General features: G+C 42.0%; 1 protein-coding gene across 3 annotated transcripts in view, besides 2 other annotated features; it reads right to left on the bottom strand.

Moving 5' to 3' along the window:
• The window catches only part of ATXN10 (ataxin 10), a 173,474-nt gene that overhangs the window by 85,071 nt on the left and 68,399 nt on the right, over positions 1–20,004 (bottom strand). For all 3 annotated transcript variants that reach the window (NM_013236.4, NM_001167621.2, XM_047441314.1), the window contains one exon: positions 19,699–19,868. In NM_013236.4, the coding sequence (NP_037368.1) occupies positions 19,699–19,868 (170 nt within the window). The remainder of the gene's footprint in view (positions 1–19,698; positions 19,869–20,004) is intronic.
• Positions 1,572–2,570: an enhancer, noted in NCBI's record as "H3K4me1 hESC enhancer chr22:46153547-46154545 (GRCh37/hg19 assembly coordinates)". NCBI's record gives its function as "activates a minimal SCP1, AML or CMV promoter by ChIP-STARR-seq in naive H9 embryonic stem cells {active_cell/tissue: H9 hESC(naive)}" and the evidence as "EXISTENCE:reporter gene assay evidence [ECO:0000049][PMID:30033119]".
• Positions 9,987–10,184: a silencer, noted in NCBI's record as "fragment chr22:46145933-46146130 (GRCh37/hg19 assembly coordinates)". NCBI's record gives its function as "represses an EF-1alpha promoter that drives an FKBP-Casp9 reporter gene in an ReSE screen in K562 erythroleukemia cells {active_cell/tissue: K562}" and the evidence as "EXISTENCE:reporter gene assay evidence [ECO:0000049][PMID:32094911]".

Here is a 20,004-nt window from a genome sequence, read left to right as displayed (position 1 = left end):
AAAGCACATGATGAAGATAGGGAATGTCATCTGTAGGTGGGAAAGATGGCTTTACAGGCCCAGAACCAAGCCACAGTTGAGCTAGGCCACCAGTACATGGGCTACTGCTCCCAGGGAAGTCTAAGCAAACGAAGGAGGATGTTCCACGTTGTGGAATTAGCACAAATCTATCTCCACGTGGGGAAAGAATGTAATTCAAGATTCCCCCTGTTCCTCCTTCCTTTCTTAGGGCCATCATTCCCCTGCCCCATGCTCTCCTGGCACACTGGCACACAACAGCCAGCATGGAAAAAACTTTCTGAGGGGATAGAGGTGCTCTCTGTACCTTGACTGGGGTGATAATTACACAGGTGCAGACATCTGTCAAAACTTATCAGCCATTCATTAAAAATCTGTGTTTAGCTGTATGTAAATTAGAAAGAGAGAGAAGCAAGCGATGGACAGTGCTGACTGTTATATGGTCCCTTAGCTCATGCCGGCAGCTGAGGTGTGACCCCATCCCACCCCATCCCCTACAAAACTAGAGCTTTATGAAGGGCAGGGTGGCTGGGAGGGAGGAGCTGATGCAGCTTGGTAAACTGGCCTCTGGAGGACATTATGAAACCTTGCTCATCCTCGTGCAGCCTCAGCTCCCTCAGGAGGCCTTTCCTCCTGCTTCATGGCACAAGAAGAGTACGGAACCCTCACCCTGATCAGACTGCTCTAGAATCTTTTTTGTTTGTTTGTTTGACACGGAGTCTTGCTCTGCCCAGGCTGGAGTGCAGTGATGCTATCTCGGCTCACTGCAACCTCTGCCTCCCGAGTTCAGGTGATTCTCCCGCCTCAGCCTCCCGAGTAGCTGGGATTACAGGCATGCGCCACCACGCCCGGCTACTTTTTGTATTTTTAGTAGAGACAGGGTTTCACCATGTTAGCCAGGCTGGTCTTGAACTCCTGACCTCAGGTGATCCGCCCACCTCAGCCTCCCAAAGTGTTGGGATTACAGGTGTGAACCACCATGCCCGGACTCTAGAATCTTTTACTATTTATCATTGTCCCTCTAAGCTTCAAGTTACTTGAGGGTGAGGACCTTTTCTTCCCCTTCCTTCTCTCCAGCACCTCGCATAATGCTTGGCACACAGTGTGCTCTTAATCAATATTTGTTTCTCTGGCAGTAAGTTTCTAAAGTTATCTTTAAAGATATGAGATATACTGCCTTTAAATAAGAATGGTACTTCTAAGTAAGAATAATGTCTAAATTACATTAAATCTTGTTAACTCTAAAGATTTAAATCTCTTCTTTTTTGGAGAGGTATGACTCCTACTGTCATGATTTATGACTCCATAAAAGCCATGTATTTACTGGGCAGAATAAACGGTAAGCTTGGTATGCATAACACAGCACTAGAATTCTTGCTATAAAGATTACTGATGCCTCAGGCTGTTATAAACGAGATGTCACATGAAGCTATGCATCAAGAGCTTGCCCTGAAGACAAAAACATCGCATACTGCTCTATCAAGTCCACGTTCAGTTACAGCTCCTGGCGCTCCGCAGTGGCTATGTGTATGCACATGTGCGTGTGCAAACACATGGCCAGTGTGTTTAAATGAACACCTGGCAACCCAAAAACAACATCTTAAAGATAGCTGTCAGAGCATGAAACATTGCACTAACCAGGAACTTCCATGGTTGTGGATTAGCAGAATAACACATCAAAGCAACCTTGAATTACGTGTGATATGCCTTAGGAAACTTCAGTTTCTGATGACCAATAATTTGAATCTAATCTTTTGAACCAAAAAGAATTATGTATTTTGTTCCAAGCACAAAGTCAGTGGCTATAGCTCAAGCCATGAATATGTAATTTCCTAAAAGTAAAACTGGTTTTTCTGAGTCTTCATATGTATTCTAAATGGCTAGAGAAGCCTGCAGTTAACAATGGTGGTGCTCCATGGAGGCACTGGTGGTCTGTCAAGTACCTATGCTTTCCACACGCTGGCTCAGCTAACTCCAAACAACCCTGCAGGGAGACTGTGGCCCTGCTCCACAGCCGAGGGACACGAGCAGTGTGGACGACTCTGAGCCAAACGTCAGGCGGGAGCTGCGGAAGCTCAGGACAACAGGGGCTGGCAGGGGCAGGGTGTGGAGGCAGCACCAGGTGTCCCCTACCCACTGCACGGGGCTTCCTGACGCCACTGTTCTGGTAACGAATAGTTGCATCCGTCTCTGCCATATACTTTGGAAGCATCAAATTTAGTTTGAATTTGTGTGTCATCACAAAAGCTCAACTTTTTTTCTTCTTTTACAAATTTCAAAAGAAGTAAATAGTATCCACAGCAGAGGTCCAATAAATGCCAATTTTATAAATACAGGCTCAACGAATATGACTGGAGAAAGTGTGCCAGAGTTTATTTCTCTAATAAGTCCAAGTTGAATCATGTAAGAAAAGTACTAATAGAGAATAATTCTTAAAAGAGAATCAAACATGAATGAATATAACTCTAATCACATTTTTAATAAATATAATTTCAAAACAATATGACTTATAAGGTCAGCATATGAAAAATGTATTGAATCCTATGTGTATGTAAAAAAAATTTTATCCCATCCATATTTACTAATACTGTACTAATGTTTTTTTTTTTCTAAAATGGCTAGAAATGATTTTTCAAGATTAAGAACAAATCTATCTTAGAGAATACAGAGAAAGAACCCATTTCTTTCTCCCTCCAAAGTACTGAATGAAACATCCACACCTCCCTTTGGAACATTCTCCAGAGGCCTTGAACGGGGAGCAGCGAAATCCTGAATCCCAGCCTGGGCTCCCACCTCGGAGCCTCAGGCATTTTCTGTCCCTGCTCCCAGCCAGCAGGCGCTGCTGGGCCACACTGTTAGAATCAGCTGGTATTGCTCCAGTTACACTGAAGCTCTGAGGCATTTTTGTTTTGTGTGGGGCTAGGGGAGGGAGGAGGGTGTAGCTGAAAGTCGCCAGGGTTGGAATTCCAACAGGCAAAGGACACGCCCTCTCTTCGAACTGCTCCAAGGCCGCCAGTCGGATTTTTCCTGTCAACACCCCCGCCACCCACCTCCCCATCAGACTCCCCAGTCGTCCGCCTCCACAGCCCCAGCCCCAGGCAGTCCGTCCAGAGCTGCAGGTGCAGACCAAAGCCATTCCTCCGCAAATAGGAGGAGGGCACAGCCACTTGGGAAAGCATCTGGAACCGTGTCTCTCGTCTGGTTCTTCTCCACTCCTTCCCTCTTCCTCAGTTTCCACGTGCTGATGGAGTGGGATTCACACGATGAGAAATCAACTCCAACTCCCTCTCTTGCCCCCAACTCTGCCATGGAAATGATTTCATTTAAAGGTTCCTCTTGGATTTTTCCAGTGGATATATTCAATATTATCACTAAAACATGTCAAATAAATACCAATGAATCATTCCCAGAAAGTAGTCTCACATTAAACCAATTATTCAATGTCTGAGAGTAATATGAGCTAAGTGCAGCTTGTAGAAGGATTTGTAACATAAGATGTACAATAATACAAAAAGTTCAACCTGAAAAGGACAATCACAACCCCCATCCCCACCCCACAGTAAACTCTGAAGGGCAGTTTCAGCTGGACTGGGAAAAGTTCAACATATTTAGCTCTTTTCTTTTCAAGCAATAGTTCATTTTTCTCAAATGATTAAAGCATACATATTCTCTTGCTTAAAGTTGGTACACAATTTCCTCTAATAAATATATCTTTTTGGAAATGTCAGTCTTTCAAGCCTGTACACAGAATATTGATTACTTAAAAAGGGTCTGGGGCCGAGTGTGGTGGCTCATGCCTATAATTCCAATGCTTTGGGAGGCAAGGCAGGAAGATCACTCGAGCCCAGGGGCTCGAGATTAGCCTAGGCAACACAGCAAGACCTCATCTCTACAAAAAATTTAAACATTAGCCAGGCATGGTGGTGGACACCTGTAGTCCAAGCTACTCAGGAGATTGAGGTGGGAGGATCCCTTGAGCCCAGGAGTTTAAGGCTACAGTGAGCCCGTTCACACCACTGCACTCCAGCCTGGGTGAGAAAGCACAACCTTGTCTCTTTAAAAAAAAAAAAAGTCTAGGTAAACAAAGAGAATTCCATTTTAAACTTAATTTACGATAACATGGAAAACTCTGGCTAATGGCATGCCCAGTGGTCACCTCTCTCAGAGACTTGGCCAAGGCCAAGTCTGTGCCAAACATGGCAGAAGGAGGAGGTGGGTGGGTGGCTATGTAGTGGTGCAGAGCATGGGTCTGGGGCCAGGCCACCTGGGTTCTTATGCGGTTGCACCCTTGATTGGCTGTGTGTGACCTCAGGCAAGCTATTGAACCCTGATGTGGCTCAGTTCACAGATTTCTATGATGGGGATAATATGTTCCCATCTAGGAAATATCATGAGGATGAACGCACTGATATATTTAAGGGCTCAGAAGAGTACCTGACACACAGTGAGCACTATAAAATGCTCCCCTGCACTACTGTTGACTCTGGTCATTATTATTCATTTTGGAAACAGTTTACTTTTTCAGGGTCTTGAATAAGGTTCAAAATTTTATTTTTCCAATCTATAGAAGAAACCAAGTTAATAATACCTTTCCCCCAAAAGACACAGGGGTACTTCCAAATATACACAAATTATTACTATTAGTAGCATGAAAAACACCAACAAGATATTGATGACAGTAACCAACCCCAGAACTTAGTGCGGCCAGGAGGAGGGAAGGGGAAAGGAGCAGAGCCTGGGAGGCAGTGAGAAGGCAGAACGGCCAGAGAACCTTCACACCTCTTCTTGCTCCTCCTTGGTCTCTTGAGGCCCCCTAATCAGAGTTTGTTATGATTAGAAATACATCCATACAAGTATGTAAAAGAAGGATGAGGGCTTAAAACATTTCCCCTCCAAGGTGTGTTTGCATTTTGACATAGATCTGAACTAAAGGAAATGAAAAGTTAAAAGTGGAATTCCTATCACGATGAAAATATCGGAAGGATAGAGGGTCATGGAGAAATCAGGCCACACCTCTGACTATCTGAATGGGCCACTGCTGCAGGATTTACAAGCACTGTGCAGGCACAGGAAGTCCTGAACAAGCGTTTGGAGGGTTGGAGATTTCCTCTGAGGGCCACACATGTGACCAGCACAGGGCCACAGGTGGTACTCCTTCCCCATGCCCTGCCACCTGGCTTTCCTGAGCACCAGGATGCTGGCTTGTGAGAGACAGCCAGTCAGTCCTGTGTGTTGAGGGACGGTCTCGCAGCTCACAGGCAGAGAAGGAACAGGCATGGACCTCATGCTTCTCATACTCTTGGCACCCCTTCATGGTGGCTGCCTGCCCAAGAGCCTGTTGCAAGGAGGGCCAAGACATTTTTTGAGACAGAGTCTCACTCTGTTGCCCAGGCTGGAGTGCAGTGGCACGATCTCAGCTCACTGCAACCTCTGCCTCCAGAGTTCAAGCGATCCTCCTGCCTCAGCCTCCCAAGTAGCTGGGACTACAGGCATGAGCCACCATATCTGGCTAATTTTTTTGTATTTTTAGTAGAGTCGGGGTTTCACCATGTTGGTCAGACTGGTCTCGAACTCCTGACCTCAGGTGATCCGCTGGCCTCGGCCTCCCAAAGTGCTGGGATTACAGGCTTGCGGGACTACTGAGACAGCACTCCCACCACTGAGTGGCTTTGAGGAAGCCTTTCCTGCACATTTAACTTAGAGAGGCAGAATGACACAGTAAGCACAGGCTCTGAAGAGGATGAGATAAAACAAAACACACCTCTGAAACATCCCACTCAAGCACATGCAGGAGGCATTCATGGAAGGTCACTGTGACTGCTGTCATCAATAGTAATTTAATCCTCACAATAAATGTATGAGGGAAGTAAAATCATCTCTACTTTACAGATGAAGAAAGGGAGACTCACAAGTTAAGTCAACATGTGAGGTGTTGCCTGGGTAGAAAGCAAGAATATCCTAGAATTTAAACTGTTTTTTCACCTGAATCAAAATTTCCCATGCACCACGAAGGTACACGTGCCAAGCTGCTGGAGCCCACCTCCGTGGGTCGTCTCTCAGCAGCTCCTGCTTAGCTGACAGGACTCACTTTTGCACTTAACCCCATAAGGCTCAGGAACCCAGGTTGCGTCCTGCCACTGGGCAGTGTGAGCATCATTCTCAGAGGCCAGAAATAAAACCCAGAGAGGCAGACAAGAGTGGAGGCATGCAGGATCCAACTAGGACAAGGTTCCTGGAGGCTAGAGTTTTCAGGACTGCAAACAAGTAGGTGGCTTTTGGCTTACAAAGGGCAGAGACAAAGAATGAAAAACTCTAGTCTAGGATGGGACCCCATCACAGGCTGCCACATCATCAAAATCTCTGTGTAGCAGTTAAAAAGGTTTTGGGTTGCTTCGACATCTCAGTGGGGGACCAGGGAAGACCATTATCACAGGCAGCTACTGCATCCAGAGTCACATTGTCAGTGTGGTACTAGAATCCCAAGTCAAGAAATTATATTAATATAAAAACTGAGATGGGCGCAGTGGCTCACACCTGTAATCCCAGCACTTTGGGAGGCTGGGGCGGGTGGATTGCCTGAAGTCAGGAGTTCGAGACCAGCCTGGCCAACATAGTGAAACCGCATCTCTACTAAAAATACAAAGAATTAGCTGGGCATGGTGGTGCACACCTGTAATCCCAGCTACTAGGAAGGCGGAGGCAAGAGAATCGCTTAATCCCGGGAGGCGGAGGTTGCAGTGAGCTCAGATCACACCATAGCACTCCAGCCTGGGCAAGAGCGAGACTCTGTCTCAAAAAAAAAAAAAAAAAAAAAAAAAAAAAAAAAAAAAAAAAAAAAAAAGCTGGTAAGAGGTGAGTGGACCCTCTAGGACCCGAGGAGATGAAAACAAAAGCAAATCGCTCTGTGAATACAAGTCCACAGCCAGGACCTATGGGACTTCTGCCGAAAAAGGTTTCTCCTAAGAAGATGAGATCAAGTTAAAAGACAGAAAAAAAAAATCACTGGGAAAAGAAACCGCGGGTGGAGAGGAGGAGGGGAGGGGTTAAGGGAAGAGGGAAATGAGAGAGAACAAATGAGAAAAACCATACCCTAAAAACTAGAAATAAAAACAATCTCCAAGAGAAAATAAGTGTCTTAAATGACTCAAGACGAAGATGGACAACACAATAAAAAATAAGTTGATCAGCCGGGCACGGTAGCTTACGCCTGTAATCCCAGCACTTTGGGAGGCCGAGGTGGGCAGATTACCTGAGGTCGGGAGTTCAAGACCACCCTGACCAACATGGGAAAACCCCACCTCTACTAAAAATACAAAAATTAGCTGGGCATGGTGGCGCATGCCTGTAATCCCAGCTACTCGGGAGGCTGACGCAGGAGAATCACTTGAACCTGGGAGGCGGAGGTTGCGTCGAGATCGCACCATTGCACTCCAGCCTTGGCAACAAGAGCAAAACTCCGTCTCAAAAAAAAAAAAGAAGTGGATCTGAAAAAGAACCACAAAATAATCCTCAGAAATGAGAGCTACAATAAGGAATCTACTAACGCTGAAAATGGCCTAACCCTTAGTTCCCACAGTGAGTGCAGAGCCCATCGTGCAGCCAAGGGGCCAGCTCTCTGGCACAGCCCCAGCCCCAGCCCCAGCCCCAGCCCCAACCCCAACCCCAACCCCAACCCCAACCCCTCAGGTGCCACTGGGTCCTGCACTGTCCCACACACCTGCTCACCCACTGCCTGCAAGGCTGACCTACTCCTCTAACTGCCTAACTCTTTCTCATTCATCCTTCAAGGCCTGGATCCAGGAGGTTCTTCCTGAAGTTCCAAGTAGAGCCATTTATACCAAGCACTTAGGTACTTTTCTACTGGCTCTCAATCCTGTCACACACCACTTATTCTATGATACTGAGATGATAGTTTCTACATCTGTCTCCTTCTTTACACTGTGAATTCCTCGAGAGAACAGTAGGCCAAATCCATTTCTGCATTCCCAGTGTCTAGAATACTGGCTGGTACACAGCATATGGCAAACACATACTTGTTGAATTGAACTACAAGCTCTTACCACTATGCCAAAATAGCACGTTCATTTCTATTTGGAGTAAAAAATATTCCCAACTTTAACTGCAATATAGCAGTAGGTTTGAATTCAAACTAAAATCCACAGTCTGAAACTAAGTATCATTTTTGTTCTATTAGAATATGATGGGCATGAAATTAAATTCTACCTGAATAAGATAAGCAATCAGCTTTTAAAACGTGGGGGTGGGGGGAGTCAGACAATGCCTTCAAGCACTGACAGGAAAAAAGTCTTTTATAGGAACATAACTTTGATCCTCTTAATTTTCAGCTGCTGCCAGGAAAAAAAAAAAAAAAAAAACTAAATATGCTAAAGATCAAAACTGCTTTAGATGTGGGACAGACATTTCCCATCTTATTATTATTATTATTATTATTATTTTTTTTTTATTTTTTTTTTTTTTCCAGAAAAAGGTAGAGCTACTTTCCAACATTTGAAATAAGAGCACTTTTCTCATTTAACCAAGAAAACGAAGCCTGGGGAGATATATAGACATTTCACAGTCAGATTTTCATTAGATTGAGATATGTCATAGAAATCCTGAACATTCAAGCACTCAGTAAGAGCTGATGTACCCAAGTCAGAACACCTGACAACAGAGAGGAAATTCAAATGCCTATTCCTTTAAAGGGGAAAAAACACATATAACAGTGGAAGAATGATCTTTATATTTCCATCTCTGTCTGTCTCTTCCTCTCTCTCTCTCTCTCTCTCTCAAAAACACACAAACCCTATCACCACCAGCCCAGCTATTAATTATCTCAGTTAGCAAAATTCTCCAGATCCAATGCTAACGTTTTACTTTTAAAAATCTTTCAACTGAAAGTATAATTGAAATTGTCATTGCTAAAGCCCCCAGATCTTGGCCAAAGAAGGGTTAAGAGGTGTACAAAGTATAAAAGAAGAACAAAGAGGCTGGGCATGGTGGCTCACACCTGTAATCCCAGCACTTTGGGAGGCCGCTGCAGGCAGATCACTTGAGGTCAGGAATTCAAGACCAGCCTGGGCAACATGGTGAAACCCCGTCTCTACTAAAAATACAATAATTAGCCAGGCATGGTGGCACATGCCTGTAATCCCAGCTACTCAGGAGGCTGAGGCAGGAGAATCACTCAAACTCAGGAGGCAGAGGTTGCAGTGAGCTGAGATCACACCACTGCACTCCAGCCTGGGCAACAAAGCAAGACTCTGTCTCAAAAAAAAACAGGAAAGTAGAAGAAAGAAAGAATTACTACAATCACTAATGAACGGAGCATGTTCTCTTCTTATCATGGAGAAAAACTCTTTACATAAGCTTTTTTACAAGCTTTTGTAATAAGCTTTCCTTTTCTCCCCGGGTTGCTGGATTATCCTTATCACATGGTAAATTCGTATAACTTCTCCTGGGTCTGTTTGGAAACTATGTCTGCCTCCACTAACCTATAAACTTTTGTAAATTGTTTTGATTATTTTAGCCTTAAAGTATATTTTAATATTGATATGACAATTCCTCAATTATTTTCATTTTATAGTCAAAATTATGGCTTATTTTTCACAGTGGGATTTTAATTGGTCTAGTAATAAAAATCAGTTTAAAAATAACTAATATCTTTCCCATATTCCATACTTCCATACAGGAACAAGGTACAGCTCTCAGTTTATACAGCTGGTTTTCCCCTCACCCAAGTCTCAGATATTCTTCTTTTTGGATACTGTGAAATAATTGTTTTTTACTGTTAAACACAAATCCATTTAAAATCACTGTTGTCGGCCGGGCGTGGTGACTCACACCTGTAATCCTAGCACTTTGGGAGGCCAAGGTGGACAGACTGCTCAAGCTCAGGAGTTCAAGACCAGCCTGGGGAACATGGGAAAATCCCACCTCTACAAAAAAAAATACAAAAATTTGCCAGGTGTGGTGACATACCTCTAGTACCAGCTACTTGGGTGGCTGAGGCGGGAGGATCACTTGAGCACAGAACTGCGGTGAGCTGTGATCACACCACTGCACTCCAGCCTGGGTGACAAAAGCAAGACCCTGTCTCAAAAATAAAATTAAATTAAATTAAAACGTCTGTTATCTAAAAATTGATCATATGGCGTAAGTAAAGAAAACTGAGTAGCAGTTAGGAAAACTGGATTCATGACTTTTACAAACTGCGGAATCATCATGGGCAGCACATTACTTCCCCAATGTCTCCCTTTCTGTGTCTACAGTATGGGGTAAATTATGCTTCTCGGAAATACGCATGTGCCTGAAATGTAGCCCTCAACATGAACCTTAAAGAAACCATATTCAGGCCAGGTAAGGTGACTCAAACCTGTAATCCGAGCACTTTGGGAGGTCAAGGAAGGAGGACTGCCTGAGGCCAGGAGTTTGAGACCAGCCTGGGCAACACAGTAAGACCCTGTTTTTCTACCAAAAAAAAATTTTTAGTAGTCGGGCATGGTGGCACATGCCTGCAGTCCCAGTTATGTGGGAGGCTGAGGTAGGAGAACTGCCTGAGCCCATGAGCTCAAGGCTAAAATGAGCTATAATCACACCACTGCACTCCAGCCTGAGCAACAGAGCAAGACCCCACCTCTTAAAAAAGAAAAAAAGAAAGGGAAAGAAAAAAGAAACTACATTTACTAAAACACTAGACATTAGATGATAATGAAAAAAGTTCAGTAAGAATTGTGGAAAAAGCTGTAATACAATGTCCTGCCACCTCAAAGAGTCACACAAATTTGGTCATAGATTTCAAAGGACCAGTCTCAAACATCTTCTTTTGTGGTGACGGTGGAAGCAGTGGATGGTAACAGGAAAAGTATGGGCTCTGGAGTCAGAATTTGGCCTGCTATCGCTCCAAGCAAGTAACTACTCTACGCTTGACTCACCAGTAAAGCAAGCAAAGTCATCCAGCGTCCATTAATTTCACTACACTATGTACCCAGTGTTACGGCAGGTGTTAAGCCAAATATGATGTGTCTGCCTTCACGCTTAAAGCCTAGGGAGGAATATGCAGTGGTAGGAATTCCACGATGAAGCACAGGTCAAGGGCCTGGAGCCTAGTTAGTTTGCAATAGTAATGGTTATCGACAATAGTACGCTGTTACATTGCAATTATATAATTAGTATCATTCTTCTTTTTAAATAATGTTATGCATTTCCTGGAAGAGAATAAGTCAATTATTGTAGAACAAGACATAGAAAAGGGGTTTTTGGAGTCAAATGGTAGACCATCCTTTAGTCTTTTAAAAAAAATTTTACAGCTGCAACAACCTAAACCATGATAGGTTTCCTCTAGATAGGAATTTTAATTTCATTTACTGTTACAGGAACTGTAAGTTCAGGGAACTAATGGTGACAGTTTGATTTATGAATTTTGACATATTTCTTGATCTGGGATTACATTACAAAGAAGTGGAATTCTAAGCAAGCCAGATCTTGCCTATACATTCAATCTTCAAATCAATAAGCTGAGATTTGGTGCAACTTGCTTCTGACAAGAGGAAAAACACAGGAAAAACGCACAATCCAATTGAGGTAAGACATATGCCCTGTAATTTAAAAGTTCCTTAACATACTTTCAGAATTGAGCTAGAACAGATTTTGGAATTCACGCGGAAAACACTTCAGCTCTTTACTAGATAATAACATAAGAGAAATTCAAGTCAGAAAACATTTATGACAAGAATCAAAATTACTCTCATCCTAAAGAAAGTTCTCATATTTGTTTTCATTTTACTTCCTCCATAAAGCCCCATCTATTAGAAAAAGTAATACACACAGAATGCAGAATATGAGGTTTACTTTGAACTTTGCAAATCCTTGTGAAATGTTGTCTACAAATTTCTATGTAAATACATATAATGGGGAGACACTGGAATGAACTAGATCTTTTCAATTCCAAAGGGACTGGTAGGGAGGGTAAGAGGAGGGACACGGAAGTATTATAGTTAGAGACATAAGGCAATCCATTATATACTTTTTTTTTTTTTTAAAGACAGAGTCTCGCTCTGTTGCCCAGGCTAGAGTGCAGTGGCACGATCACGGCTCCCTGTAGCCTCGACCTACTGAGCTCAATCAACCGTCCCACCTCAGCCCCCCAAGCACCTGGGAGCACTGGCTAATTTTTTAATTTTTTTAGAGAAACGGTCTTATTACGTTGCCCAGGCTGGTCTCAAACTCCTGGGCTCAAGCGATCCTCCTGCCTTGGCCCCACCAAGTAACTGGAAATACCGGCTATTTATTTTATTTTTTTAGAGATGGGAGGTCTTACTATGTTGCCCAGGCTGCTCTCAAACTCCTGGGCTCAAGTGATCCTCCTGCCTCGGCTTCCGAAAGTACTAGGATTACAGACATGAGATACTTCCTATACATGATCACATTTAATCCTCCCAACCCCACAAGGAGGTGTAACTGCCCCTATTTTATACATGAAGAAGCTGAGATTCAGAAAGGTTGAGACACTTGTCCAAATTTAAACAGTTAATAGATGGTCAACTAAGAGGCAACTCTGAGTTTACTGAACTCTAAAGTCTCATAAGCTCTCTGCCTGTTGTAAGGTTCCTCTATAAACAGCACACACGTGGATCCAATGTTACAAGCCAAGCAATGACAGAAAAGTCAGTGACAGGAGAACCCACTGCTCAGACATTTTCTGTTTCTTTTTTTTTAAACAGGGTCTCACACCCTCACCGAGGCTAGAACACAGTGGCACAATCACGGTGCACTGCAGCCTCGACCTCCTGGGCTCAAGCAATCCTCCTACCTTAGTCTCCCAAACAGCTGGGACTACAAACATGCATCAACATACTCAGCTAATTTTTAAATATTTTGTAGGGATGGAGTCTTATTATGTTGTCTGGCTGGTCTCCAACTTCTGAGCTCAAACAATCTCCCGCCTCAGCCTTCCAATGTGCTTGCTGGGTTTACAAGCTTGAGCCACTGCACCCGGCCCCCCAGACATTTTCAATACCCTGCCTGGAATTCCCCAATTAGACAGGCAGAGTTAGGTTCCTATAAAGAAGGAAAAACATGTATCTGGGAAAGAGAGTGAATTAAGCCATTATCATCCAGAAAGACCTTGGGAGATGGGTTTCATGAAAGACAAAACATCAAGGGAGGAGCAAGGACAAAAGTGGTGGTAACGGTGGTATAACTAAGAAGGGATGGAGGCTGCTACAGTAAAATTGAGTGATACCCAAATAAAGTGTTTCATATGTCACAGTTCTGCTGGTGATCAGTTTACGTATGTGTATCACACTAAACACTTATTAAGTAAAACCAAAAACAACAGCACACGTATACTGAAATATGCATCAGAATCAACAACCCATAACCTATTTACCCACAGAAACTGATTATAGGTAGAGTGTAAGTCAGGGGGTGAGCAGAGGGCAGAAGAGTATAGTGAGGAGCGTAGAAGAGAAAGTGTTTCTGCACAGGTCAACAGGGTACCTGTGACCTTGAGTTCTGAAGGCCAAGTTAAGGTCACTCAGGGAAAGTATGAAGGTTGGGAAGTCCACACAGTGCTAGTATAGGCTGAGAATATAGAAGCTGGCCCTGCCTGAGCACCAAGGGCCATGCCACCCCGGCCTATTTTACAGTTGCAAAAAGAAAAACACTAACACATATTAGTTAAGCATTTATTTATTTCTCTGCAGAGCAATCACTCGATCAATTATCCGAGTAACTGACAAGTCAGCCAGTACTGATGTACAAAACAGGTACTAATCCTCATTAAGAGCAACAACCTAAATAAAATCATTAGGAAATAGCCATAGACTTTTTTTTTCAGTTTTTCATGATTTAACAGACAAATACGCTGCTTGAAAACATTTCAGACAGGAGGAAATAATAAAGGAGTTAATAATTTGCCTGTTCTTGGCTCCTTGCAACTAGATACAAAAAGGGTGGAAAATAGTACACCCCACCAAAAAACCCACTAAAAATTGATCATGTTATGAATGTTTAACAACTGTAAATTCAGTCTTAAATTTTATTTAAGATTAATGAAAAAACCGCATTCAGATCTACGAAGCCTAAACCTAGGATTTAAAAAATATTTTTTAATTACTTGCAAATATTATACAATACAGATGTTCTTATAATCTAAAATATATATGATTTGGATCAAATAAAACGATGGCAAATTACAGTAAATTAGAATATATTCAAACATAAAAAAAGACTTTCAAAAATACAGAACTCAGAATTTAAAGGAACATTAATTTTCATTTGAAAAGTTATCTATTTTTACTAGTCTTTGTAAATTTAGTCAGAAAATTGTATAGTAATATTTACACTCCTTGAAAAGAACTGTCTTACTTGCTGTGTATCTTCAGAACCTAAAAGTGCACTTGATATGTAGTAAACATTCAACATTCAATTTATTTTACAAATAAATTGTCATTCAAGAAAAATTAGAAAAATTTACTGAATGCCTACTATGTGCCAGGTACAATTTAGATGCTGGGAGTAACATGATGAGCAACACAAAGTTAACGAAAAATGTATTACAAAGATTATTTTATGTATATAAATGAACCTGCCTTCAAAATTGAGAACTGAAGGGGCCAAATAAAGTTTGTCTTTACATGTTGAACTTTTTCATACAGTACAGACTTACTTTAAAATTAAGGTATGCTTATAGTAAAAGATTTATAGGCACATATATTTGACATGGGATCATCAAGTATGTGACTGCTGGGAATATTTTAAATCAGGGAGGAGGAAGGAGGAGGAGAAGAAACTGAATAGCAGTTCCATAACCTTTAGCAGAACGGATATATGGCCCATCCTAGTCAATACAATTTCCTTGGCGGGCGGAAGGTAGATAAACTAGATCATCTGTCTGTCCGATTTGAAAAATGCACTTAGCTTTATGAAATAAACGTTTGGTTTTTCTTCTAATAAAGATTCACTTAAAGAGGTTATGACAATAGTGAAAAGAAGAAGAATAGGGAAGAAAAAGGTAAACCATACATTCCTTATTCTAACAAAGAAGAAGCTGAAGAATGCTTTCTTCATGTTTATAGCATTAGTATCTTTGTGCTTCTTACAATAGAAACCAAAACAGAATCTCCATTTAGGTCCACAAAAGTTTAGAAGTAAACTAATCACTACAGTTGTAGCAAGGAAATACTACACAAGTCGAGAACAAAAAAACAAGGTAAGAATAGAAGTCAGTAAGGATTTGACACCTCCCTACCATGACGAGGTAAAGGGAAGTCTAGCAATTCCTTTACAATTCAGGAAACACTACATCTATCACGTGTACAGACTTAAGCATTAAAGACTCATGAGAATTTGGGATAAAATACATTTCTGTGCAGATTTTCAATCTGAGGCAACGTACCTTGATTCTCTTAAATCTTGCCCAAAGACAAGTATCTCAAAGAAAGATGACCATCCTTCCAGTTGATACCATGCTCCTGGCAGTCCAGTGCCTGTCCTTAGAGAGAAATGCTCCTGGCACAGCCAGCCCAGAGGACACATCACCCCCCTGTTCCTTTCTGACAGGCCTCACCACACGGACTTTTGCTACAGCTCCTAGTGGACATGTGTCATTCCACCACTAAAGCGACTGTCTTCTCCAGAGCATGCAGCACACGGCAATTCTCACTCAGCAAGTGCTAGCTGAGTTAAATCACACTTGGTCTCGGGGCCTTGGTTTCTTCATTTAGAAAATGATGGTGGAAATATCTTTTCAGCCCTTTCCACAGAGGTATCATAAGGCTCCAACAAACTAAAGCAGATGAAAAGAGCTCTGGAAAATGGAAAGTGCCACACAAGTGTAAGAGGGCCATCCAGCAGGTGGGCACCATACTCACTGCAATGGATGAAGTTACACAGACAACACAGACACAGTTGGGCTTGAAAGAGTCTTGCTCAAAATTCAGAGGAATCAGGCAGTACACAAAGATTTTAGGAAAATCTGTGTCATGAGTAGTTTTGAGATTCTGATTCAAAGAGGCAAGCATGGTCCCCAGATGATGCCAGAATGGAAGCTCCACAGAAGATATTAATACCTTGCCTGAATTACCCGTCAAAGGATCCCCAAGCCAGCAAACATTCGTATTTGATGAATGGGTGAATCAGAAACAAGGATAAGAGGACCCCCAAGAGCTCCCAACTTCAACCAGGAGGGAGTCTAAGGGGCCTGGCTGGCCTAGGAGACGCAGACTGACCAGCCTCCAGCCTGAAGTCCTGCAGGAAGTCTATTTTAAACCCTTTTCTCCAACCTTTTGGCAAGTTCTCACCATGGGGCAGGAAGTGAGCACAGGCCTGGGAACTCAATAGGCAAACAAATCCAAATTCTACCCTGGGCTCTGCACCTAACTGGATGGCCTCTCCTTAAAATGTGGTTACCAGAACCTGCTTTGCAAGGCTGATGCAAAGATTAAAGTTGATAATATATGTAATTCACTAAGCACAATGCAAGGACATAGTAAACACTAAACAATAAATCATCAGTCCCTTTTGTCTTCTGGGCAAAGGAGGAACCCAAATTAGGCTAGATGATACGAAATCCCTCCCAACTCAGATCTTTAGTCTTGGAGCAGAGACAGAGCCAAATTTCCCTTAAAGCCCTAGCTGGGTTAGAAGTGAGACAATCCATCAAGACAAAACACTGAGAATTACTGGTCCCGTGATAAAGACCTGCTACATAACCATCCATTCCATTTTCCCAAAACTATAACCAAAGTCATCTGAGTGCGAGTGAATTCCATCCCTTGAGGCAACAATGAGCAAGGCAAATATCTGTAACACCCAGCTGGAACAAGGATTTGGCTACAAGAATAAAGAACACTCTAGCACATCCAGAACAAGATTTCGGCGTTGTGTCGGTCTTTGGAAGGAGGAAAAAAATCCCAGAGGTAATGCTTTCAGGTTCAGGCCTTTTGTTGACACACGTAAGAAACTGAGAGAAACAGAGGGCATTTGAGTTGATACTCAAAGAATGAACTCCTTCATACCCTCTAAACTGTTTGCTGAGAAATCAGCAGTGCTATTAGCAACTGCACAAGTGACAGGACACACCATCGACTTCCTGTGCGCCCCAGTGACCTCTGCACAGCAGCACTTGGGCACACTCCATATTTACTTATGGTGCAATCTGATCCTGACTTCAGTGAGTTATTTCGCAAGCCTTTTAAGGGTTACTGCATTTTGTTCCTATAAGAGGCCAGTCCAAATTAGCAACAAAAGAATAGTTAAACACAAGAAAAACCACCTCTTTTGTGCTCAAGAAAGGCAGTCCTGGTCATTAAAAAGGTAAAGTGCTTTATTCGCTATCAACTTTCTTTTGCAAAAATCAGTCCAGTAATTTCCCAAGGGGGGAATCAGTAGTCTCACTCTCCTGAAGATGAGGATTGCCAAAATGGTGCGCCCATATACTAAAAGTGCAAGTTGTCTAGCGTTTGGTTCTGCGCCATGTCTCACAGGAATTATTCCAGCTATCAACGGCTACATAACAAATTACCCTAACATTTAGCATCCTAAAGCGGCCGTTTTATTTTCAATCTTTCTCCCCGCTTTTGTTTTTCAGACTAGATGATTTCTACTGATGTATCTTAAAGTGTACTGGCTCTTTCCTCTGTGATCTTTCTTGAGGTTAAGCACATTCGGTATTTTTTTTTTTTTATTTTAGATACTGTATTTTTCAGTTCTAGGATTTCCATTTGGTTCTTTTTTATAGTTTCTATTTCTCTGCTGAGATATCCCACCTTTTCACTCTTATGAAGCGTATCTCCTTTACATCCTTGAGCACGGTTACATTTGGTACTTTAAAATCCTTGTCTGCTAAGCCCAGTATCTGTGTCCTCTCACAGTCAGTCTCCGCTGATCATCTTTTCAATTGAGAACAGGTCACATTTTCCTGAACGTCAAGCAATTGTAAACTGTATCCTGGACATTACAGGATACATTATGCTGTGGCAATTCTGGATTATATTATATTCCTCTAAAGAGTGTTGATTTTTTTTTTTAGAGGGCAATTATTAATTATCTACAGTGTAAGTTGGACTTAATACTATAAACTCTAGGGTGGGAGCTCAAATCTCAATACAATGACTTCATCCTTAGCTTAGCTGCCTGGAGCCTGCCCCACACGTGTGATTCAGCCATTAGCAGAGATTTAGGTAGCTGACACCCAGAGTTTGGGGTCTGTTTTCTACTTTCCACAATTCCCCCCTCACTTTCCAATGCCATGGTTGCCCTCAAACTGTTCTTTGATTCTTCAAGCTAGAAAGACGGAAGATTTTGTAACTGACTTTTCACTGCCCTGCATGCCACACACTGTGTCATTCCCTTCTTCCAAGCATCAATTTCACTCCAGAATCTGCCCGTTTGTGTCAAATTCGAGTGTCTTCACATGGCTATTTTTTGTCCAAAGTTTATAATTGCTATTTGAAGAAGGATCAGTCCAACAGTAACTGACTGGGCTACTAACTGAAGCAGGACCTATATCCCTTATTTTTTTTTTCTATTTTTTACTTTTTCTCATAATACTATGGGTCATAAATTCAGGAAGGACTATGCCCAGTAGGGGGGCCCTGATCTATGTGGCATCAGCTGGGCAAGTAAGAAACTGAGGATGGATCTACTCCCAAGATGGTTTCTCGCACACATCTCATGCCTTGATGTTCCTTCACCAGACCTTTCCTCTCTCCTCATTGTATCTTATCTTCCAGGGCTTTTCCATGTGTATTCAGCAACTCGCAGCAAGGTGATCTCTGGGAATCTATACTTCTTACATAGTGACGGGCTTCTAAGAAGCCAGAAATAGAATCAGCTAGACCAGTTAAGGGCTATGCTACAAATGGTATAGGATCACATATTTGATTGCTCACAGCAGCCACAGGGCCTGCCCAGATTCAAGTGGATGGAGAAATAGATGCCAACCCTCGACAGGGGAGTGGCAAAGTCATACTGCAGACACACATGTACAATGCAAGACATTCTGCCACCATCTTAGAAAAATATAATCTGGCAGAAATTTAATTAATATTTAACTAAGCAAATCAAATGCCACCCGAAGTAAAACTCCAGAAAAATACAGAAAGGCGAGATCAATCTGAAGCATGTGGTCCAACTGCCCTGAGATCTTTCTTACCATTCTCTCACATTCTCAATATAACTACCTTTAAGCTCTTCTGCACATAAGAGGTTTCTAAAAGCAGCCTACTAGGTCCTCAAAGACTTCATACTTAAATATTATATTCCTTTTATATCCATTTTAAAACATCTAGAAGAAAAGGCTTATGATGCTATCGTCCATAAACATAGGATATAGATCTAAGCTTTGTTTTTTAAGATAATAGGCAATAATAACTAGTGTTTATTAAATATCTACTGTGTGTTAGAAATTTGTCTAGGCTCCAAAGAGCCTATATATTAACATATACATATATATATATACACACACACACACACGTGTGTGTGTGTATATATATGTGTGTGTGTGTGTGTGTGTGTGTGTGTGTGTGTGTGTGTATTCATATAAAATATATATCTCTCTATCCAAGCTACTTTCTAAGCACCTCAAGCTTTCACTCCAAAAGAGTGAATGTCTTCCAAGGACTATATTCTAAATGAAGCCATACATGTATAATACATACTAAGAAATCCTCTTACCTTGTCTTGGTTATCTTTATTCTTGTAACACAGATTTCCAATCAGACGAATGAGATGAGACTTAAACCCATTGGCCACATTGGAGATGTCACCTTCTGCTCTCACGCAACCACAATTACTGAAGATGTTTGTGGTTTCTTTTCCAGCTACATGAATCACCCGCAAAAGATCTATAACCAAAAGAGTAAACTTCATTTTCCACAGAAAAGTAACTTTTAGTATGTTGTACTAATAGTTTTCCATAGACAAATCTAATTTATTGTAATAGGCTAAAGGTAGAGCACAGAAAGCTTTATTTAAATAATG

Source organism: Homo sapiens, chromosome 22 (genome assembly GCF_000001405.40).
Source record: "Homo sapiens chromosome 22, GRCh38.p14 Primary Assembly".
In the NCBI taxonomy this organism is placed as follows: Eukaryota; Metazoa; Chordata; class Mammalia; order Primates; family Hominidae; genus Homo; species Homo sapiens.
This window is presented reverse-complemented; position numbering and strand designations above follow the sequence as displayed.